General features: G+C 42.8%; 1 protein-coding gene and 1 long non-coding RNA gene across 3 annotated transcripts in view; one reads left to right on the top strand and one right to left on the bottom strand.

Annotated features, from left to right (window-relative positions):
• RBPJ (recombination signal binding protein for immunoglobulin kappa J region) overlaps nucleotides 1-24,466 on the bottom strand; it is a 329,683-nt gene that overhangs the window by 260,128 nt on the left and 45,089 nt on the right. The window contains exon 2 of one of the 2 annotated variants that reach the window (XM_047415656.1): nucleotides 11,390-11,515. In XM_047415656.1, the coding sequence (XP_047271612.1) occupies nucleotides 11,390-11,466 (77 nt within the window). In that variant the 5' untranslated portion in view covers nucleotides 11,467-11,515. Of the gene's footprint in view, nucleotides 1-11,389; nucleotides 11,547-24,466 lie in introns of those variants that run through there. The other variant, NM_001374401.1, reaches the window with a different exon arrangement.
• On the top strand, nucleotides 794-22,910 carry LOC105374541 (uncharacterized). Its single transcript, XR_925507.4, has 6 exons — nucleotides 794-945; nucleotides 10,784-10,849; nucleotides 16,321-16,392; nucleotides 20,717-20,756; nucleotides 22,240-22,383; nucleotides 22,666-22,910. It is a non-coding gene; the product is annotated as an uncharacterized LOC105374541 (long non-coding RNA).

Here is a 24,466-nt window from a genome sequence, read left to right as displayed (position 1 = left end):
CTGCCATGTCTTTTTCTCATATCCCTTTCCCTTCTCTTGTTTACTAGCTTTCTTTAAGTGAATTCATTTCCCATAATTTTCTAAGAAAAATTTATTTTAAGCAGCAATATTTATGAAATCTACGGTTTGATGTGATCACATATATATGTGTACATATATGTGTGTATATATATACATTTCTCCCTCAATATATGAAAATTAATATAGGCTCTGAAATTTTAAAATGCTCATCTGGGCCGGGCACAGTGGCTCAAGCCTGTAATCCTAGCACTTTGGGAGGCCAAGTTGGGCGGATCACCTGAGGTCAGGAGTTCGAGACCAGCCTTGCCAACATAGTGAAACCCCATCTCTACTAAAAGTATAAAAATTAGTCAGGCATAGTGGTTTGTGCCTGTAGCCTCAGCTACTCAGGAGGCTGAGGCAGGAGAATCTCTTGAACCTGGGAGGCGGAGGTTGCCGTGAGGTGAGATCGCACCACTGCACTGCAGCTTGGGCAACAGAGTAAGACTCCATCTCAAATAAATAAATAAGTAAAAATAAAAATGCTCATCTGTGTATCACTTAAAACTATGTCTCTGAAACACAGCTCTAATGCATAAAGTTATCTGAAGCCAGGGATTCCTGCCTTATCATTCGGTTAACAGTAGCCAGAGCTGAGTGAGAAATTTACGCCGTGTCAGTCACCAGAGGAAGTCCTCCCCGAAGCTCTAGAAATAAGGTATTTGCATTGGCCCCATTTTAGAGATAAGGAAGCAGACTTAGGTAAAGGTCATCTCACTAGTAAGTGGAAGTCAGATTCAAGCCCGAGCTGTCTGAGTTCAGAGTCCACACAATCATCACTTTCTCCCACTTCTTGGGAAAAAACACAGGTGTTGATACCACGGCTTGCCAAGGAAAAAGCAAGCAACCGTCCTGTTGAAGAATGAATTCATTCAGTACTAAATGGTAAGTGCGTCCTTCCTGTAACTTCTAACGCATTGCTTGCAGCTACCAGCTTTCAGAGGAGTTGGATTCCAAAAGTTCATTTAAAAGCAATTTCCCAGTCTCCTTCCTCAGTGCTTCCCTACGGTACTTTGTACACACCTCTCCTATTGCGCTTATCACGTTGTCTCTTAGCTACTCACATATCTCCCTCCTTCACAGGGCTCCGGCTGCCCAAGGGCAGGGACCTTGCTTTATTTATTTTAATATGCTCAGCACCTAGTCCAGTGCCCAGCCCGTGGAGATGCAGAGTATACACATGTTGTATTAAATTACAAGTCATTTGTTTGGAACTCAGCACGCATTTCCCCAAAGAAATGCATTACAAATGGGAGTGGAAGCGTTATGTTTCCAGCCAGCCCACAAAAGTTTATTTAACCCATCTTGTAGCCTACCAAGTTATCTGGAGTCGTGGGTGGGATGAAAGATAGAAATCTTCCCCATCTCCTGGGTGTAAGGTTAGACGTAAATAAAATTTCACATAGGTCAGTGTTGGTTTTCAGCTTTCTCCAAATTGCCCTTTTTTGTCTGTATCTCCCACCTATGAGCATCTTCGTCTCCAAACTTCCTACTCAAAACCTACTGCAAGCCGGGCGCAGTGGCTCATGCCTGTCATCCCAGTACTTTGGGAGGCCGAGGTGGGCAGATCACTTGAGGTCAGGAGTTCGAGACCAGCCTGGCCAACATAGTGAAACCCCATCTCCACTAAAAATACAAAAATTAGCCGGGCATGGTGGCACATGCCTATAGTCCCAGCTATTCGGGAGGCTGAGGCAGGAGAATCGCTCAAACCTGGGAGATGGAGGTTGCAGTGAGCCGAGATCGTACCACTGCACTCCAGCCTGGGCAACAGAGCAAGACTCTGTCTCAAAAAAAGAAAAAAAGAAAGAAAAAATCCCAACATACCCTACTGTAGTCCCTTACCCCAGTTCTTTTCCAAATAACCTACTTGTCCTGCTCACTCAACAAAATTCCCATTTTCTGAGTGTGGCTGAGCTCAGTTGATTTTCAGTAGGAAAACAATCTGACAGTTAATTCTTGCTAACCTGTGAACGACTGCCCCTAATATCCTTTCACTTGCCCCCACCTCCAAAGCCAGGCATATGACTATGTGTAGCACAGTGGTTAGGATTGTGGGATTGAAAGACAGACCTGGATTTGAATCCCAGTTCTACATATAAGTTATGTAGTCTAGGCAGAGTAACATGACTTCTCTCAACCTCAGTTCTCTCACCTGTAAAATGGGAATCATTGTAATTATCTAGAGAGCTAGTGCTTTTATAACACTTCTCAGAGTTATACCATCTATCGGGCACAGTTCTAAGGACTTTAAAAGTCCAGTTTGTCTTCACAGCAACCCCATGAGGTAGATATTAATTATTATAAAGGAGAGTGACATTCCAAAAGAGATTTCTAGTGGTAAGTTAAAATTAATTATAATTTATTCCCCACTTTCCTTATTCCAAAAAGGCTTTTGAGGAAAGAACGCTACATTGATAAAATTTCTGGCAGTGTGGATAGGAAATGACAGTTATTCCCAGGAGGAGACTTTTCAGGGCTGAGACAGAGGGGATTGCTGCTAGATCGCCCGTGGCAGAAAATTTATCCTAAGAGTCTATTCCCTTATGCTGTTCCTGTTTCCACAGCTTTTCCCCTTCCTCTGCCTCTGAATGTCTAGAATCTGCAAGTGGTCCAAATTTTTTTTCTATCCCTTTCTTTCTTTTTTAATTTTTTTCACACAGCCCACGGCAGCTGCAGGGTGGTGGGGGCCAGGCGGATGGCGGCAGCTGTTTGTATGTATGGGACCTCTGTAGTCTTTCTTTGTGACTCAGGGGCTGTCTGTATATATCACGAGCTACCACCTGGCAAGACATTTAGTTCCATCCATGTTGTTGAAATGTTTCCTGGATGATATCATCAATGCACAAGGATGGAAGGAGCTTGACGATGTGGATTTCCAGCCTTCGCTGCCCTCCGGCCTTACACTGAAACAGTCTGGGGCGATTTTAACCTCCAGCTTAGCAGGCAGCCTTGGATTTGCTCTCCAGTATTTCCCACTTACCGGATCCAGAGACCTAAAGCCCATGGCATATACATCAGAACGGACCTAACAGTGTAGTCATGCAAAACCCCGAGCCTGCTGATGACAGGGGCAGGTGGCAGGTCCACTCCTCAGCCCCCTTTTGCTGTGGTGGCCTTGTGATGAAGTCACTGCACTTCTGTGGGCCTCAGTTTCCTCTTCTGTCACACAGCGGGTGGCTGTACTATCTCTACTCCCTCTGAGCTTTACGAATCTTGGATGCTCTAATAAAGGACCCAGACAGATGGCAGTTGATCCTTTCTGATGTCACCCAGGAGTGGACAGTCCTTTGTGACTATCGTAAGCCTGTTCAAATGTGTCCTCTTCCTTAAAATTGAGAATTATTCCTTTATGCTAACTATACATTTCTTGTTTTAATTTGAAATTTGTCTCACTCTGTCACCCAGGCTGGAGTGCACAATCACGGCTCACTGCAGCCTCTAACTCTTGGGGCTCAAAAGATTCTCCTGTCTCAGCCTCTCAAGTAGCTGGGACTATAGGAACATGCTACCATGCTCAACTAATTTGAGACTTTTTTTTATTGTGCAGGACTTCTGAAAATATAGATAAAATTCTACCCCATATTCTCATTACAGTGATACCTTGTATACTGTACAGTGACACCTTGTATACTGTACAGTGACATGTCTATGTTTTAACCTAGGCGATTAGTTTTCAAGGACTTAGTGGTAGTGATATTCTATTTTATATGACATTTATATTTAAGAAATATTTCATGTGAAACTCAAAACAAAAATAGGAAGAGAAATTATACTCATTTTTACAAGTGATGACATTAAGGATGAATAAGTCTAAATATCTTCAACAATATCTCATTACTAAATGGAAGAGGCACAGCGCAAACACAGGTCCTTCGACTCCAAGTCTAATGCTCAAGCCACAAGATCACGTATTAATATAAACCACCACCACCAGCCAAAACAACAGCCACCCCTAGCTGAGTTTCTGCTACATGGCACCTTACTAGGTGCTTTGCGTACAATGCCTTTAATCCTTGAAGCAATTGTGCAAAGGAGGCATTATCATCCTCAGTTTAGAGATGGAAAAATTGAAGTTCAGAAAGATTAAGCATTAAGATTTGTCTGATGGCTGACGTGTACTGAAGGTAAAATTCAAACCCAAGCCTGTTTTTTGATAGTGCTGCCTATTGCTTAAATATGCATTACCTAAAATGAGAGCCAATATCATTTAATCTTATTTCTTAAGGTCGCATAAATTATCATTTCATGAAAATACAGTTAACAAAAATTACTGATTGGTTGAATCACATTCAGCCAACTTACATCTCACTTAACTGCTCTTAAATTTTCCTGTTTGTATCATTCTGCTTCTGAGATATTCTTTTCTGGATTTTCTTTCCATTCCTTTTTTTTTTTTTTAGACAGGGCCTTACTCTGTTGCCCAGGCTGGAGTGCAGTGGCACTGCAAGGCTCACTGCAGCCTTGGCCGGCCTCCCTGGCTCAAGTGATCCTTCCACCCCAGCCTCCCAAGTAGCTGGGACTTCAGGCATGCACCACAATACCCAGCTAATTTTTGTATTTTTTGTAGAGACAGAGTTTTGCCATGTTGCGCAGGCTGGTATCAAATTTCTGGCCTCAAGCAATCCACCCGCCTCGGCCTCCCAAAGCCCTGGGATTATAGGCAGGAGCCACCATGACTGGCCTATTTTCCATTCTTTTGAAAATATATATATTTTTAGAGAAGCCAAGATGGCCGAATAGGAACAGCTCCGGTCTACAGTTCCCAGTGTGAGCGACGCAGAAGACGGGTGATTTCTGCATTTCCATCTGAGGTACCGGGTTCATCTCACTAGGGAGTGCCAGACAGTGGGCACAGGACAGTAGGTGCAGCGCACCGTGCGCCAGCCGAAGCACGGTGAGGCATTGCCTCACTTGGGAAGCGCAAGGGGTCAGGGAGTTCCCTTTCCTGGTCAAGGAAAGGGGTGACAGACGGCACCTGGAAAATCGGGCCACACCCACCCAAATACTGCGCTTTTCTGACGGGCTTAGGAAATGGCACACCAGGAGATTATATCCCGCACATGGCTCAGAGGGTCCTACGCCCACGGAGTCTCGCTGATTGCTAGCACAGCAGTCTGAGATCAAACTGCAAGGCGGCAGCGAGGCTGGGGGAGGGGCGCCCACCATTGCCCAGGCTCGCTTAGGTAAACAAAAAAGCCGGGAAGCTCGAACTGGGTGGAGCCCACCACAGCTCAAGGAGGCCTGCCTGCCTCTGTAGGCTCCACCTCTGGGGGCAGGGCACAGACAAACAAAAAGACAGCAGTAACCTCTGCAGACTTAAATGTCCCTGTCTGACAGCTTTGAGTAGAGCAGTGGTTCTCCCAGCACGCAGCTGGAGATCTGAGAATGGGCAGACTGCCTCCTCAGGTGGGTCTCTGACCCCTGACCCCCGAGCAGCCTAACTGGGAGGCACCCCCCAGTAGGGGCAGACTGACACCTCACACGGCCGGGTACTCCTCTGAGACAAAATTTCCAGAGGAACGATCAGACAGCAGCATTCGTGGATCATGAAAATCCGAGGTTCTGCAGACACCGCTGCTGATACCCAGGCAAATAGGGTCTGGAGTGGACCTCTAGCAAACTCCAACAGACCTGCAGCTGAGGGTCCTGTCTGTTAGAAGGAAAACTAACAAACAGAAAGGACATCCACACCAAAAACCCATCTGTACATCACCATCATCAAAGACCAAAAGTAGATAAAACCACAAAGATGGGGAAAAAACAGAGCAGAAAAACTGGAAACTCTAAAAAGCAGAGCACCTCTCCTTCTCCAAAGGAACGCAGTTCCTCACCAGCAACATAACAAAGCTGGACAGAGAATGACTTTGAGGAGTTGAGAGAAGAAAGCTTCAGACGATCAAACTACTCCGAGCTACAGGAGGAAATTCAAACCAAAGGCAAGGAAGTTGAAAACTTTGAAAAATATTTAGACGAATGTATAACTAGAATAACCAATACAGAGAAGTGCTTAAAGGAGCTGATGGAGCTGAAAGCCAAGGCTTGAGAACTACGTGAAGAATGCAGAAGCCTCAGGAGCCGATGTGATCAACTGGAAGAAAGGGTATCAGCGATGGAAGATGAAATGAATGAAATGAAGTGAGAAGGGAAGTTTAGAGAAAAAAGAATAAAAAGAAACGAACAAAGCCTCCAAGAAATATGGGACTATGTGAAAAGACCAAATCTGCGTCTGATTGGTGTACCTGAAAGTGACGGGGAGAATGGAACCAAGTTGGAAAACACTGCAGGATATTATCCAGGAGAACTTCCCCAATCTAGCAAGGCAGGCCAACATTCAGATTCAGGAAATACAGAGAACACCACAAAGATATTCCTCGAGAAGAGCAACTCCAAGACACATAATTGTCAGATTCACCAAAGTTGAAATGAAGGAAAAAATGTTAAGGGCAGCCAGAGAGAAAGGTCAGGTTACCCACAAAGGGAAGCCCATCAGACGAACAGCAGATCTCTCAGCAGAAACTCTACAAGCCAGAAGAGAGTGGGGGCCAACATTCAACATTCTTAAAGAAAAGAATTTACAACCCAGAATTTCATATCCAGCCAAACTAAGCTTCATAAGTGAAGGAGAAATAAAATACTTTACAGACAAGCAAATGCTGAGAGATTTTGTCACCACCAGGCCTGCCCTACAAGAGCTCCTGAAGGAAGCATTAAACATGGAAAGGCACAACTTGTACCAGCTGCTGCAAAATCATGCCAAAATGTAAAGACCATCGAGACTAGGAAGAAACTGCATCAACTAACGAGCAAAATAACCAGCTAACATCATAATGACAGGATCAAATTCACACATAGCAATATTAACTTTAAATGTAAATGGACTAAATGCTCCAATTAAAAGACACAGACTGGCAAATTGGATAAAGAGTCAAGACCCATCAGTGTGCTGTATTCAGGAAACCCATCTCACATGCAGAGACACACATAGGCTCAAAATAAAAGGATGGAGGAAGATCTACCAAGCAAATGGAAAACAAAAAAAGGCAGGGGTTGCAATCCTAGTCTCTAATAATAAGAGCTATCTATGACAAACCCACAGCCAATATCATACTGAATGGGCAAAAACTGGAAGCATTCCCTTTGAAAACTGGCACAAGACAGGGATGCCCTCTCTCACCACTCCTATTCAACATAGTGTTGGAAGTTCTGGCCAGGGCAATTAGGCAGGAGAAGGAAATAAAGGGTATTCAATTAGGAAAAGAGGAAGTCAAATTGTCCCTGTTTGCAGACGACATGATTGTATATCTAGAAAACCCCATTGTCTCAGCCCAAAATCTCCTTAAGCTGATAAGCAACTTCAGCAAAGTCTCAGGATACAAAATTAATGTACAAAAATCACAAGCATTCTTATACACCAATAACAGACAAACAGAGAGCCAAATCATGAGTGAACTCCCATTCACAATTGCTTCAAAGAGAATAAAATACTTAGGAATCCAACTTACAAGGGACGTGAAGGACCTCTTCAAGGAGAACTACAAACCACTGCTCAATGAAATAAAAGAGGATACAAACAAATGGAAGAACATTCCATGCTCATGGGTAGGAAGAATCAATATCATGAAAATGGCCACACTGCCCAAGGTAATTGATAGGTTCAATGCCATCCCCATCAAGCTACCAATGACTTTCTTCACAGAATTGGAAAAAACTACTTTAAAGTTCATATGGAACCAAAAAAGAGCCTGCATCGCCAAGTCAATCCTAAGCCAAAAGAACAAAGCTGGAGGCATCACGCTACCTGACTTCAAACTATACTACAAGGCTACAGTAACCAAAACAGCATGGTACTGGTACCAAAACAGAGCTATAGATCGATGGAACAGAACAGAGCCCTCAGAAATAATGCCACATATCTACAACTATCTGATCTTTGACAAACCTGAGAAAAACAAGCAATGGGGAAAGAGTCCCTATTTAATAAATGGTGCTGGGAAAACTGGCTACCCATATGTAGAAAGCTGAAATTGGATCTCTTCCTTACACCTTATACAAACATTAATTCAAGATGGATTAAAGACTTAAACGTTAGACCTAAAACCATAAAAACCCTAGAAGAAAACCTAGGCATTACCATTCAGGACATAGGCATGGGCAAGGACTTCATGTCAAAAACACCAAAAGGAATGGCAACGAGCCAAAATTGACAAATGGGATCTAATTAAACTAAAGAGCTTCTGCACAGCAAAAGAAACTACCATCAGAGTGAGCAGGCAACCTACAAAACGGGAGAACATTTTCGCAACCTACTCATCTGACATAGGGCTCATATCCAGAATCTACAATGAACTCAAACAAATTTACAAGAAAAAAACAAACAACCCCATCAAAAAGTGGGCAAAGGATATGAACAGACACTTCTCAAAAGAAGACATTTATGCAGCCAAAAAACACATGAAAAAATGCTCATCATCACTGGCCATCAGAGAAATGCAAATCAAAACCACAATGAGATACCATCTCACACCAGTTAGAATGGCGATCATTAAAAAGTCAGGAAACAACAGGTGCTGGAGAGGATGTGGAGAAATAGGAACACTTTTACACTGTTGGTGGGACTGTAAACTAGTTCAACCATTGTGGAAGTCAGTGTGGCGATTCCTCAGGGATCTAGAACTAGAAATACCATTTGACCCAGCCATCCCATTACTGGGTATATACCCAAAGGACTATAAATCATGCTGCTATAAAGACACATGCACACGTATGTTTACTGTGGCACTATTCACAATAGCAAAGACTTGGAACCAACCCAAATGTCCAACAATGATAGACTGGATTAAGAAAATGTGGCACATATACACCATGGAATACTATGCAGCCATAAAAAATGATGAGTTCATGTCCTTTGTAGGGACATGGATGAAATTGGAAATCATCATTCTCAGTATACTATCGCAAGGACAAAAAAACCAAACACCGCATGTTCTCACTCACAGATGGGAATTGAACAATGAGAACACATGGACACAGGAAGGGGAACATCACACTCTGGGGACTGTTGTGGGGTGGGGGGAGGGGGGAGGGATAGCATTAGGAGACATACCTAATGCTAAATGATGAGTTAATGGGTGCAGCACACCAGCATAGCACATGTATACATATGTAACTAACCTGCACATTGTGCACATGTACCCTAAAACTTAAAGTATAATGATAATAAAAAAAAAAGAAAAAAAATGAAAAAATATATGTTTTTTCTGGACCCCCTTAAAATAGCTTTACTTCATCATTAATGATGGGAATTTAAAGTGAGCATGGTGGTCTTAGAACTTGAACGATGTCCAATAGAAGAAAAGGATTCTAGTTTCCCTCCCCCTTCCCTCATTCAGATTATATATCCTAGAATCATTTTACATTTATTCATAATCCATTTTTCTGGCCATCTTACCTAGGTAACCCTTGCCTATTTTGTATCTGCATAATTCATTCATGGAAATTCTATAACTAACATCTGTAACTTCATCTATGAAATGAGGACAGTGATTCCTGTCCTGTCCATATCTCATAGTTTTGGTGACATTCAACAAAACAGTATATAGGGAAGGCACTTTGAAAGGTATAAAGAACCATCAGCATAGATAATTATAGCATATTTTGCTTTAGAAAAAGCTAAACTGCAGAAATGGAGCCAAATAATCAGGATTGTTTAGTAAGGCTGAGATTGGATGTCCAAATTTCTGTACTATTTATCATATATAAGAGGTAATAATGACATAAAGTAATCTAATTAGTCATTAAATTATTTTAAAAGAGAATTTTTTTGCATAATAAAGAGCAGTGCCCTTTTCATTCCATAGACAAACATAAAGACTAGTTCAATACAGTATAATATTATACTGTAGTTAAATACTATACTAGCTAAATACAGTATAATACTACACTATATGTATTTAACTAGTCCATTGTTTGTCTATGGTATGAAAAGGACATTTGTCTAAGTTATGCATAAAAACTAGTTAAATCCTTTCTGAGCTTCCCCAGGCCTCCCTGGTTTTCTGGCCTCTAGACTTCTGGTGGTCTACAAAACCCCACACCTTCTGGAATTGCTGTGAATTCTGCATTAGGCTTCTGACACAGAACTAGCAGATGGTCCCCCCCATTTTCCAGTAGAAAAACACATTTTTAACTCTTTTTGTGCAGTTCTATGACAACAATGAACTTTTGGAATCCATTGGCTGAGAAAATAATGACAAAAGAACATTAAAAGTTTCAGTAAAACTTTCAAATGGACTTATATTTAATTGATCACAACTGCATCCAAGTACTTTTGGAAAATACACAGGCATGTGTGAAACATTATTCTACCAGCCATGTTGTAGACATGCAGTAGATATTTGTCAAGTGAGTGCCCGAATAAGAAGAGAATAAAAATTGGCAGACAGTGCTTGGGGTACATGGGGACTTGTGACCCTTCTGTCATAACTCCATTCCTTGGCCCCTGCTCTGAGAGCCAGAGCTCAGAGCTCAGAAACCACTTGTATTGTTTCTGAAATACCTAATATACAGCAGGCACTCAATAATAGTGTATAGGTGTACAAGTGTATGTATAAGTGAATAGTATACATACTATTGTAATGTATATGTAATGTATAAGTGAATAAATAGTGTATGTATGTACAAGTGAATAAACGCATGCATGAACATTTCTGTTGTCTTTCAGCTAAATTACAATGTTGAAGACAGCTGGTATGCTGTGGGCCTTTCTCTGTCCCTGAAAATCCCAGCGGTGAGTTTCGAGACAACATCCTGCTTTCAGATGTAAACAACCAACGTGATCAGTATCACCTACCAACAGAAGCATTTTTGGAGGAGCTTATTTAAAAGAAAACATCTAAAAATTTAAATACCTAGAGGGACTATAGATGTTTTTGATTCTAGAAAATTCTTTTTGTTTCTCTGCAAGGGCACATAAAAGAAAGTATGGAGTTAGAAAACTATGAGGAGACATGAAAGGTCCTAAGAAGGAAGCAGTGTTACCGGTCTGGAGGCACGGGGAAAAGCACCTTGTCCTAGGACTGCACAGCTTATCTTTTGCAGCCTAGGCCGGATCATCTGCTGAGTGATCTAAGGCCTTATCAGAAAGAAGGCAGTATAACCAGAACACTACCATGCAGAGATTTCAATGGTAAAGGAGTTGGTTAACTTGTTACCCCTTGAGGTGGCAGTAGCAAAAAGCAATTTACTTATTCATAAGTCACGAACTAAAGCATGTTAAGTATTTTTATGGGCAACATAACATAAATAACTCATTAGAGAATTCACTTACCTCAATGATGCTGGATAGAGCAGTCCAATCATCTCAAAGAGAAACTCAATACAGGTTGTTCTTGGAGGCTCAGTCATGAAATGCCGTAGAAAGAGCCCCTTCCACCCAATCTGGTGGCCACTTTGCCTGGCAACAAAGGAAGTAAAAATGTCAGAATGAAGAGGAAGAGATTCAACATTCTCTCTCTCTAAGGGAAAAAATGCAGACACAAGTCTTTTTTTTTTTTTGTGTGTGGGGTAGAGGATTTGGATGTGCTTTGATTACAAAGGGTATCTGTAAAGACCAACATAAATTAATATTTATTGCTTCTTCTTTTTCCTTGGCTTATCCTGAAATCAGAGGCCTGATTTTTACTAATAGCAGCATGCAAAACAAATCACCAAAGGCAAAAGGAAATAAATGATGTTACAGCTGCTTTAGGCTAATTTGACTTTCTTTCATGTTTAGTGACTGCCTTGATGTTCCTGACCTCAGATGTTATTTCTGATGAGTTAAAATACTTAATACCCCAAATCCTAGGTGAGGCCTTCACCATCATTTGGTCCAGATTCCCAATCTCCTAGCTCTGAAAGTTGAGGTACGGTGATGTCATGTACCATGTCACCAGCCCAATAATCCATAATGTCATACTCCCTACAGTGCCACATCTCCAAGCTTAACCTCTTGAGCAGAGACTCAGCCTTCTGTAACATAAGCCCTGGTGACAACCATCTATAACAGGCCCTTCTTGGTCTCCCTGCCGCTCTTCCTCCAGACACTTGTGAGCCTGATAGCATACTTCATCTGTAGTGGGGGGCCTAGATGGATGTGAACTAGAATACAGTCTAGGTCCACCTCTAGGCTGTGCCTCTTCAGATGGTTTCTGAACTGTGCAGCATGGGATGAGGACATGTGCTCGGAGCCTGACTGCCTAAGACATCGTGGTCTTGCCACCTAATAGCTGTCTGACCTGGGCAAGTTATTTAACCTCTCTATGTCTCAATTTGTTCATCTGTAGAATGGGGATAATATGCCACCTCTTTCCTAGGATTCTTGTGAAGATTAAATAGATCAATACATGTGAAGTGCCTAGAGCTGTGCTGGGCACAGTTCTACAATGATAAGCACTTGGTAAAGTAACATTGAATGCATCAGTGACCAATGAAGAAAAGGGATGAATGAATTAGCAGAGTGGCCTTGGGCACAGCACGTGACCTCTCTGGCCCTTTCTAGCTTCTCTTAAGTAACATTATGGAGATCATGAACTCACTGGCCTTGCCGTAGAGTGAACAGTTTGTCCTGATTTGCTCAGTGCTTTGCTGATATTAGCATGGAAAGTCCCACATCCAGGGAATCCCCTGTCACAGGCAAAGTGAGACGGTCGGCTGTCCTAGGCCTCTGTGACCACCCTGTGTTCCAGGGTACACTAACACCCAACCCCTTGGGCCTTGAGTTTCTCTGTCCTGTGTCCCCCATCCCACTTCACCACTGGGAGTGAATCAGGGCATGCATCACAGACACTATGGATTGTTTATGCCATTTTAGCTTCCCCCATCACCTCCTTGCTTGTTGGCAGAGTCCTGATTTTATCTTTTGTTCACTCACTGAACAGCCATATGCCCAGAAAAGGTGACACTAACTCCAGTTCACCCAGATGGGGCTAGATCTTGATTAATCTAAGCCAAGTATTCTATTCTCCTTACCAGAGACTGGTTAGCAGAGGGAAGTGCTATGCACTGGGATGGTATCACCAGTTGTTAAAGCACTGAGATGTTGTCGTGACGGTCAATAATGGGATGTTGCCCACATGCCCCCTCCTCCCTACCACAGGACGTCTGTGCTGAAGGCTCTTATAATGCAGCCACTAAAGGGTGAACGTCTAGTACCACTGGGGCCTCCTGGACCCCAGCTTCAGGCCTCCTCCTTTGTTGGTGCAGTGCTGTTGCCTTTGTATCTGTTATTTATTTTATAGCTTATCTTGCCTCTGTGTGACCTACTTCTGGCTATAGGTGGCAGCAGTAACAGCTCCATCCACTTTCCTGAGGACAAGGGACCCCATAGCAGTGACTGGGATCTGGGTCAGTGTGTAGCTGCAGTGTTGGTGTTCACAGTGGCAGACCCAGTGGGATCTTTGTTAGGCTGATTCTGTGGTATGATTCTGGGTACAGCCTCTAAGCCTCACAGTGCCCTAGTCTTTCAGGGGCTGCAACCTTTTAATAAATCCCATTTCTGCTTAAATCACTATGTCAGTTTGCTTTTGCCTACACCATATCACCTAAAATCAAGTAGTGTAAAACAATCACCATTTATCTACCATGGGCCATTATTCTGGGCTGGGCTTGGCTGGGGCTGCCTGATGTAGGATGATCTTAGCTGGGATGGCTCATTTCTGCCCCATGTAGCCTGTCACCCTCCAGCAGACGACCCCAAGCTTGATCACATAGTGATTACACACTGGTGGCAGCAACCTGTGGGAGACAGTGAATGTGTATAAGGCCTCTTGAGGCCGAGGCTTGGAACTGTCACGATGTCACTTCTGCCCATTCTATTAATCAGAGCAAGTCACAAACCCAGCCCAGATTTAATGGCTGGAGAAATAACCTCTGCCTCTTGGCAGTATGGGCCAAGAACAGTAACTGGAAACATGTTTTGCCAATTACCATCATCATCCAGAGCTAGTATTTGGTACTCCAGCTGATGTAACATGGTGGGAGACCGGGCAAGAGAAACAGAAAGAGGCCCCTTTCCCCTCAATAGACTGTGGGAGAACCAGGGTGGGATCTGTCTGATAATATCCCTTTGTTTCCTCATTCTGAGAACAAAGGCCTGGTTTGAGGAAGATGCATGTGACAAAGGCAATGAAATGCCATTAGACCCTACTCAGCTTTCTTGGAAGTTGGATGTGATGGTGCCTGATTCACCCACACTCTTTCTCCTTTTACTCTGGAAATCAGTCTTGTTCTAGTTGATAGCTTCTCCATCAACCTCCTTACCAGAGAGAAGAGCAGACCATCTCCCCTACCACGCCGTGGACATGTACAAGAACTAAACTTATGTTGTTTTAAGCCTCTGAGATGTGGGGGTGTTTGTTACTGCATCATTAACTGTCTTATCCTGACAGATACATTATAGAATAAGATACTAGCTCTAGGGGACATTGCATAAAAAAAGAGTTTTGTGGGTAAATAAATCTGGGGACAATGACAAACTACCAGTTGTCCTTTGGTATTTGTCCTCCCCTGATGCATTTTGGTAAAAAACACTTGGAGTTTCAGCCTGACACTTGGGCACCTAATTGGAGACTGCATCTCCTAGATTCCCTTGTATCTGTGTTCATGTGATTGAATTCAGGCCAGTGAAATGAATTGCAGGTGATGTGTGTAACTTCTACATTATCTCCTTAAAGAGAAAGCTTCTTGGCTGGGCACGGTGGCTCACGCCTGTAATCCCAGCACTTTGGGAGGCCGAGGCGGGCAGATCACGAGATCAGGAGATCGAGACCACCCTGGCTAACACGGTGAAACCCCATTTCTACTAAAAATACAAAAAATTAGCCGGGCACGGTGGCGGGCGCCTGTAGTCCTAGCTACTTAGGAGGCTGAGGCAGGAGAATGGCGTGAACTCGGGAAGCGGAGTTTGCAGTCAGCCAAGATCGCGCCACTGCACCCCAGCCTGGGCGATAGAGTGAGACTCCGTCTCAAAAAAAAAAAAAGAGAGAGAGAGAGAGAGAAAGCTTCTTGCCCTGGACTCTCTCTCTTCCAGCTTCCTCTGCCTGAGAAATGGTAACTGCTGGTACCATCTTGAAAGCCATGGGTTGAGATGGAAGAGCCACTTGGCCAGCTTTGGACCATTCATCTCTGTACTGATATATGAAAGATAAGTTCTACCCTCCTTTAGCCACTGTACTTTAGGGTATCTTTGTTATAGTGGCCCAAGGTATGTCCTAATTAATATCACACTATATCTTCCTCTTGGAAATTCATGGAGGTACTATAAACACGCTGAAGGTTCTAAGGTGTCCTGCACAAGGTAAACAGTTCAAATCTTATTGAATGAAGAAATTCTTCTTTTTATGTAAAACTTATTGATATACACACTTTGGGAAATTTTCTCACAGAGATAGTCCTAACACATAGTTGTTCTTTGGGAAGTACTGGGATAGAGACATCTTGGTAGCTGGAGAAGGCTGTGGAGTTATCATTTCTAATCATTGTTAATAAGGGGCATGGCATCATCTATCCCCACCCCAACTCAGCTTCTCCTCCATTCTTCTTGGAAAAGCATCCAGGTGGTGGAAAAACTGGAACTTGTGCAACAAGTCTGGACTCAAATCAAGACTCTTGTGACCTTAGACCTCCTCCTTCACCTTTCCAGGCCTCCATTTCCTCAGATGTAAAATGAGAACACTGATATCTACTTCACAGAGTTGCTTGGATCTTATACATGAAAGTGTCTAGCATATGAGTATCTCCTACCTTCTTCCTGTTTCTTTTTGCCTTCTCCATGTACTTCCCATCAGGGTCTCACAGTCCTTCTAACAAAGTTCATCCTGAGGTCTCTAAACCCTTTCTTCCCAAGTAAAAGTAAAATGATAGATCATTTTAAGGAATGACTATTCCTCATAGTATCTGCATTCTGAAAGGGACTAAATTGAGAGAGAGAGAGAGAGAGAGAGAGAGAGAGAGAGAGAAAGAGAGAGAGGGAGAAAGTCTTCTTAAAAGTCACAAGGAAAATTATTAGCTCCCTTTTGGGCTGCAGGATATTCAGGAAGAGAAGTGGCTTTTAGTTCCTCATCTTTCAAGGATCTGAATGGCTTTAGGCAAGTAGTGAAGAATCAGAACTGCTTGTGGGTTTTCCTGGTAAAGCCAAGGATGACACATGGTTTTACAATTCAAGTTAATTAGAAATAATTCAAAGTCTACACCATTGACAGAATTCTCTTTCATTGCCAGGTCTGCAAATCAAGAGAGAAAGTAGGCAGAAAATTGAGCCAGAAGGACTCATATATTGGAGACTCCATGAGGGTAAATTTGGCGCCTTCTCTTCACTTTTTCTTCCTCTGCAAAAGCCAGCATGGTGCTCTGTGCACAAGGAAGGTTTTAAGCATACTTACTGACTCCCTTTTCCTCATCTGGAGGGTAAAGCTCTTCATAGGGGGCTTTTATTAATCAATAATTTTGTAGTACAAGTAACAGAAACCAACTCTAGCTATCTTGAGGGTAAATGCAATTTATCCGAAGGATACCAGGGAAAAACATCAAATCTGAGGAACTGTAGAATAACCAGGCCTTGAGAAGACTAGAATCAAGACAAACTTGGAGACCTCAGCAACTGAAGTCCATGGGCCATCCACCTAGAACACTGTCCTGATGTGACAGGGAATGTGACTGGTCCATCCTTAGACAGTCTCCACCCTTGATCAAGTGACTATGGCCAAGGTAGCAGGGCTGCTGGGAGCCTACACCAGTGACATAGGAGATAGTGCCTATAGGATGAGTATTTATTATGAACCAAGCAGCCACCCACAGAATCACCCATTGTAGATTTTGTGCATAAAAAATCACTTCAAAACTGGTTTTAAACAACAACCATTTTACTTGCTCATGATTCTCTGGGTCAGCAATTTGGGCTGGGTTCAGCTAGATAGTTCATCTGTTGGTTTCACTTGCAGTCATTCCTAGGTTGTAGCTATCTGGTAGCTCAATTGAGGCTAGATCATCCAAGATTATTTTGCTAACATGTCTGGAAGTTGGCATTTGTTACCAGCTGGAAAAAACCTGTTGTTACCATGTGACTTCTCATTGTCTAGTAGGCTAACCTAAGCTTACATTGTGGTCTCAGGGAAGCAAGAGAGGGCAGACCCCAGTGTGCCTATGCTTATATCACATTTGCCATTGTCCTATTGGTAAAAGTGAGTCATACAACCAAGCCTAAAGTCAAGATGTTGAGAAATAAACCATCCTAATGGGAGAAGAGTTGAAATCACATTACAATAAGGAATGTAGAAAGGGACTGAAAAAGTTTATGGAAAGTTTTGCAATCCAAACAACCTTATACTGGCTTCCATCTATATATATTCCCTAAAGCATAATTAATTTTTAAAAATCTTTTGATTTTTCTTTGAAAGTAAATAAGCTGCTTAATCAAATTTATCTATAGGAAGATTTAGTTTTCCTTTTTATCTTTTTCATTTTTAGTTTTTAGAGACAGAGTCTTGCTTTGTCACCCAGGTTGGAGTGCAGTGGTGTGATCATAGCTCACTGTAACCTCAAACTCCTGGGCTTGAGTGATCCTTCTGCTTCAGCATCCCAATTAGCTGGGACTGCAGATGTGTGTCAACATGCCTGGCTAATGTAAAAAATTCTTTGGAGAGGTGGGGTCTCATTATGAGTTGCCCAGGCTGGTCTTGAACTTCTGGGTTCAAGCAATCCTCCCGTCTTGGCTTCCCAAAGCACTGAGATTACAGTTATGAGCCACCTCACCCTGCTGGATTTAGTTTTTAGTTTTGGGGGTTTTTTTGTTTGTTTGTTTGTTTTTGTTTGTTTGTTTGTTTGTTTTTGACACAGGGTCTCATTTTGTCACTCAGGATGGAGTCACAGTGGTGTGAACCTGGCACACCACAGCCTCAGTCTCCCTGGGCTCAGGTGATCCTTTCACCTCAGCCTCCTGAGTAGCTGAAACCAGAGGCACCTGCCACCACACCTGGCTAATTTATGTATTTTTTTTTTTGTAGAGACAAGGTTTCACCATGTTGCCCAGGCTGGCCTCCAATTCCTGGGCTCAAGCAATCTGCCAGCCTCTGCTGCCCAAAGTGCTGGAATTATAGGCATGAGCCACTGTGCCTGGCCCTGGATTTAGTTTTAATTAGAAATTATAACCTATGCTGGGCATGGTGGCTCATGTCTGTAATCCCAGCACTTTGGGAGGCCGACGTGGATGGATCACCGGAGGTCAGGAGTTCAAGACCAGCCTGGCCAACATAGTGAAACCCCATGTCTACTAAAAATACAAAAATTGGCTGGACATGGGCTCTACTAAAAATACAAAAATTAGCTGGACATGAGTGGTGGGCACCTGTGATCCCAGCTACTCAGAAGGCTGAGGCATGAGAATGTCTTGAACACAGGAGACAGAGGTTGCAGTGAGCTGAGATCGCACCACTGTACTCCAGCCTGGGTTACAGAGTGAGACTCTGTCTCAAAAAAAAAAAAAAAAAAAAAAGAAAGAAAAGAAATTCCAACCTATATAGTTATAGTTTTTGGAGTAAATCCAAAGTATAATAGTAAAAACAAACAAACAAACAAGCCTGGATAAATCCTTAGCCTGCTGCTTGAGACTCAGTCTGACAGGTTTTGAAATGTAATTCTTGCTCAGCTGGTATTCATAAATATCAGATTGTCAACTTGACTTTACACTGCATTAACAATAACAGTAATCATTTATTGAATACTTACTGTGCACTAGGTATTTTTATACAATACCTCTAATTTTTGCAATACTCTGTCAAATATGAGTTATTATTCCCATTTGATGGTTGAGGCACTGCAACCCACAGGTTAAGCTTCCTGCCTCCATTAACAAGTTGTTTATGTCAGACACAGTATTTGAATCTGGCTCTGTCTGACTCTATGGGCACTGTCACTGCCCCTTTCTGCCTCTCAGTGATGTATGTTTCTTTCCAGGAGACCTGGATTACACAGATAAAATGGGAAAGGAACACCTACCATGCTTTCTTCTCAACATGGTCAATTTCGTGATTGGAGAGAAAATTTCAAACTGCCAATAGTGAAATGAAACTTCTCTCCTCTGTACCTTCACTGAACCTGCAGGTTTTCTCTCTCTGACCTTCAACCTTCCACTATGGAAGGAGTTGTATGTTTGACAAACTTTCCTTACTTTAACCCTCTTAAGAGAAAAGGTCACCTGCAATCCCAGCACTTTGGGAGGCTGAGGTGGGCAGATCACTTGAGGTCAGGAGCTTGAGACCAGCCTGGCCAACATGGCAAAACCACACCTCTACTAAAAATACAAAAATTAGCCAGGCGTGGTGGTGCATGCCTGTAGTCCCAGCTACTCGGGAGGCTGAGGCAGGAGAATCGCTTGAACCCAGGAGGTGGAGGTTGCAGCGAGCTGAGATCGTGCCACTGCACTCCAGCCTGGGCAACAGAGCAAGACTCTGTCTGAAAAAAAAAAAAAAAAAAGAGAGAGAGAGAAAACTAAAAAGAGAAAAAGGTGAGCAGCTCAGTGACCCAGAGGGCATGTGCCTGAGGCTGAATCTTAGGTCCCCTGGCTCCCCACCTCAGCCATGAAGGGCTTAAGGGCTGAGAGGCTAAGAAGAAGATGGAAATGGCGCTCAGCTGGTCACTTAGAAAATGTTTTTATATCTGTAAGAGTTAGCTGGAAATGGTCAAAATATGTACTTTTTCTTTCATGATTTCATGTAATAAGTAATGGTTGGGATTAATGCATACAAGTACAGGTATTCACCCCTCCTTTCCAAAAGAGAGTGATCCATATGTTTGCTAGGAGTTGAGTATTTGAAGTTGTTTACATTTTCCTCTTTTAATGATATTCCAAAAAGTAGTTTCCTAGACTGAGCCTGTGGCTTGTTTAACTCTTAATATTCTTTATGTCCAGCCCTGATATGGTTGGGAAGTGTGTCCCCTCCAAATCTCATGTGTTCTCAGTATTGGAGGTGAAGCCTGGTGGGGGGTATTACATCACGGGGTGGATCCCTCATTAATGGCTTCACACCATGCCCTGGGTGATAAGTTAAAGCAAGAGCTGGTTGTTTAAAAGGAGCCTGGCACCTCTTCCCCTTTTTTGCTCCCTCCCTTGCTATGGGACACACTGGCTCACCTTTGCCTTCCTCCATGATTATAAGCTTCCTTAGGCCTTGCCAGAAGTAGATGCTGATACTATGCTTTGTGTGCAACCTGCAGACCCTTGAGCCAAAAGAACAATTATAATTACCCAGTCTTGGATATTCCTTTATAATAACATAAATGGACTAACACAAAACCTGTTTTCAAGCCAACCAATCTTCATTTTAAAACCATGTTCCTGAGAACAGATGTGTGTTCAGGTCTGAATAAGATCAGATAGCACTTCCATCTGGGACCACAGCAGCATGGAAGGGATAGGGAGGTTAGGAGCAAAGGGCAAGAGCAGGCAGAAAAGCAGGTGAGTCCACACGGTGTTTCCCTGGTAAATTCCTACGGGAACGAATATTCATTGAGTACCTATTACATGCCAGACCCTGCACAGACACTTGTCAGAATGATGCCTTTTATACCCTGAATTACCCAGTGAGGTAACCATCATTATCTTATTTATCCTGTTTTACAGATGGAGAAAATGCAGCAACTTGCCCGAAGTCCCAAATCTGGTAAGTGGCAGAGCCAGAGCTTGAACTCAGGTCTCTATCATTCCAAACTTTTTGTTCTTTCTGTTCCCCGTGTTATGATTGCCTCCACCCACAGAGTGGAGGGGAGCTCTTTGTATCTTTGTTTGTCCTCTAAAGGAGAGATGGCAGAAACTCTGGTCAGCAGCTGAGCGGGAGTTCTTAATTGGGGAAGGAGTTAACAATGAATGGGGGAATATCAAGCAAGTTCCAAATACAGATTTGGAGTCCCTAATCCAAAAATCTGAAATCTCAAATGTTCCAAAATCTGAAACTTTTTTTTTTGAGAGGGAGTCTCACTCTGTCACCGGGGCTGGAGTGCAGTGGCACGATCTCAGCTCACTGCAACCTCCGCCTCCTGGGTTCAAGCGATTCTCCTGCCTCAGTCTCACACGATGCACAGGTGGAAAATTCCACACCTGACCTCATGTTATGAGTTGCAGTCAAAACACAGGTGCACAATGGTGAAGATGATGTTAACACTGCAGAAAAACGGCCTAAGTTATAATATGGTAAAAATGTATGATGGGTTTGTTGAAGGACTAGAGCTGTGTGTGCCTTCATAACAGAACAAGAAATCATGTCAGCTTATAAAATCAAAGAGAGACCCCCTAAGACAAAAACCACTGTTACTAAGGCCAGTGACACTGGAGGAAACATTTGAAAAAAGCTATCCACTAGCATGCCTCTTCATCCTTGGAGGACCCACATCCTGGTCCCTCAACTGCTTCCAGTGTTTCTCCTCACCTAAAAAATAGAATACAGTGTACAGTAATCTTTTAATCAAAACACAGCATCACAGGTGGAGACTGAACGCCTGCTGTTATCTCTTGCTGTTGTTTCACAGCTGATGCAGGTATTCTGGGCATGCTACTGTGCTGCTTGGTTACCCTGAACACTCTATTTTTTCACTGCATTAACGGTTTGTCATGTTTTTTACCTTAAAATTCACACTTATGTGTGAATAAATGTAAGAAAACAGTTGCTTCTCAGTAGCATCTACATTCAGAGTCAGGAATGATGGTGATGCCAAATAACCACAGATTGTCCACATGGGTGGCTGAGCTAGGGTCACCTTTGCTTTCTGATGGTTCGATGCACACAAACTTTGTTTCATGCACAAAATTATTTAAGATACTGTGTAAAATTACCTTCAGGCTATGTGTATAAGGTGTATATAAAACATAAAATAATTTCCTGTTTAGACTTGGGTGCCATCCGCATGGTATCTCATTATATATATGCAAATATTCCAAAATCCCAGACACTTTGGATCCCAAGCATTTTGGATAAAGGACACTTAACCTGCACTTCTACCTCTTTTGCCCACTCCCAGAGTGTTCATTAGATGATTGGTCATAAACTGGGGCAGTTCATACTATTTTCTTAACTTTGTAAGTTGCATACATAACATCTGACAGTCTCACAGTGGTTGGCAAATTCATTCCACTCTTTTCAACTTCTCAAGCTCTCTGTCTTCAAGAACTGAACAAGGATTCAATATGGATTAGTGATTAAGAGCTTGGGCTATGGATTCAGAACAACCTGGGTTCAAGTCCTGGATCTGCTCCTTACAAGCTGTGTGAGTTGAAACATCAATTTAAAAATTGAGGTAAGAATTCTTTATACAAGTTATGAGCTCATTGTGAGAATTAATGAAGATAATATGTAGAAAGTACTTAGCATGGTTTATGCACATAGTAAGCACTTATTAAATGCTGCAGATGAACTATCCTGGCTTTACTATGTACCAGTTATGGGATCTCATGCAAGTTTTCCCATCACAAGGGGCTAGGCCATGCTGCTGTAACAACAATCTGAAAGCATCAGTGGCTTACAACAAAGAGGGTCCATTGCGGATTGACTGAAGCTTGGCTTCTCCCATTCTCTCTAGTGTTCAGGGCGTACCTGGAACATTGCCAGTCTACGTGGTGGATGAAAAAGACAGATGGCAAACCACGTGCTGGAAGACATGTGTCAACTCTGTCTACACGTCACTAGCCAACACAAGTCCCATAGCCACTCCTGAATTCAACAGTGCAGGAGTGGATAGTATTCCTCCAGAGTGGGGTATTGAAAGGAAGAAAATTGTAATGTTTTATCATAGTGTATAATTTGCCAGCTATTTATTCTGAGCCCTACCACTCTGTAAACTTTCTGGCACAACGTAGGCACTTTTGAATGAGAATCTTATTATACTGTCAACTGTTCTAGGGGCCCCTTCTGCTCCCAGTTTGCCATAAAGAGGCGTCAGACCCCAAAAGCCCAATTGTGCCTTATTTAGTTCAACATCTGGAGAGGCTCAGCTGTCCCACATATTTGTTCCTAAATCACTGAGTTGCTCACTGAATTGGCTGCCGACCCACCTTTTCCAGACAGGAGAAGAGGAAAAACTTATTTGCGAAGAAAAAGAGAAGGCTCCTCTTGGCCAGGCCAAGGCCTCCTTTGGAGATGGGCCATAACAAACAGAGATTTGTAATGACTAGGATACCCTAAACCGATAGTAAAATGGAAATCCACAGGATCAACCCAGCAGAGGGACTGGGTAGTCGGAAGGCTGTCATCGGCCGGTGGTGTGACCTCAGACAAACTCCTTTGCAGCTCTGTGCCTCAATTTCTTCCTCTGTAAAAGGGAGGTGGTGGTGGTGGGGACAGTGACTCTCTCAAAGAGCAGAGATGAGAGTAAAATATCATATCCATGACCAAGTCACAAACTATAAACACTATTCCACAACAGTTTAACAAAATGGTTAAATCTAACAAAAATAGGACAGGATATGCAATATATCTGACTTTAACAATAATTTGGTAGTAAATATGGAAGGAGTTGAGGGCCCAAAACACAGAACATATTCCCATTTCTTGGAGATCTTCAGCAGATCACAAAAAAGAGAAAGTTAGATTACTTGGGTGTTCAATTTGCTGGCAACCATTTTATGCTATAATTCAGCATTAGTCATGGCTGACTAATTTTTTTCTCTAGAAAATTAGATGGAGCATGTAAACACAAAGGCACAGCACAGCCTCCTGGAAAAAACCCCAAATGCACTGAGTCTTCGGGCAAGACTGAGGGATCAAAGGCCAGGTGGGCTGCCTGCTCTGCTGCTTCGGTGCCATTTGGTATCATTTCCGTATTTCACTCAGTTGGTGTTGCTCAATTTCCACTCCCTCCATCATCAAAAAGTATTTTTAGAGCCTTTCATTACAGGAAATCTTTGGCGTTGTTCTCAGGGCTGCTCATATAGGGGAACATGTTTTCCATTGTCAGTATATCCGTAAATAAAGACTAGCAAATGCATCTTTACATCTTGGAGGGCACATTTACTCTTGTCTGATGCTGCATGGCATACTGAACCATGGGAGAGGACCAGAGCAAAGATGTGATGAGCTTTCTCACTAGTGTAAACATGGCTCAGGGGTTGACCAAATAGGTGGCTTCCTACAAACATTTCCCTCACCCCATGAGACCGGGGTATGTGCTCCTGCTTTGTGTTCTGTGTCCATCACTGTCCTTGGCCCATTGTGTACCCTATGGACTTAATCATGTAAGTGTTTGCCCTGTACTAGCCACTGTTTTAAGTTCTTTCAGTGTGTTAACTCATGAGACTGTTACAACAATCCCTTTTTTTCGGATGGGAAAACTGAGTCACAGAGAGGTTGAGTAGCTTCCGTAAGGCTGCACAGCTAGGGCTACT

Source organism: Homo sapiens, chromosome 4 (genome assembly GCF_000001405.40).
Source record: "Homo sapiens chromosome 4, GRCh38.p14 Primary Assembly".
In the NCBI taxonomy this organism is placed as follows: domain Eukaryota; kingdom Metazoa; phylum Chordata; class Mammalia; order Primates; family Hominidae; genus Homo; species Homo sapiens.
This window is presented reverse-complemented; position numbering and strand designations above follow the sequence as displayed.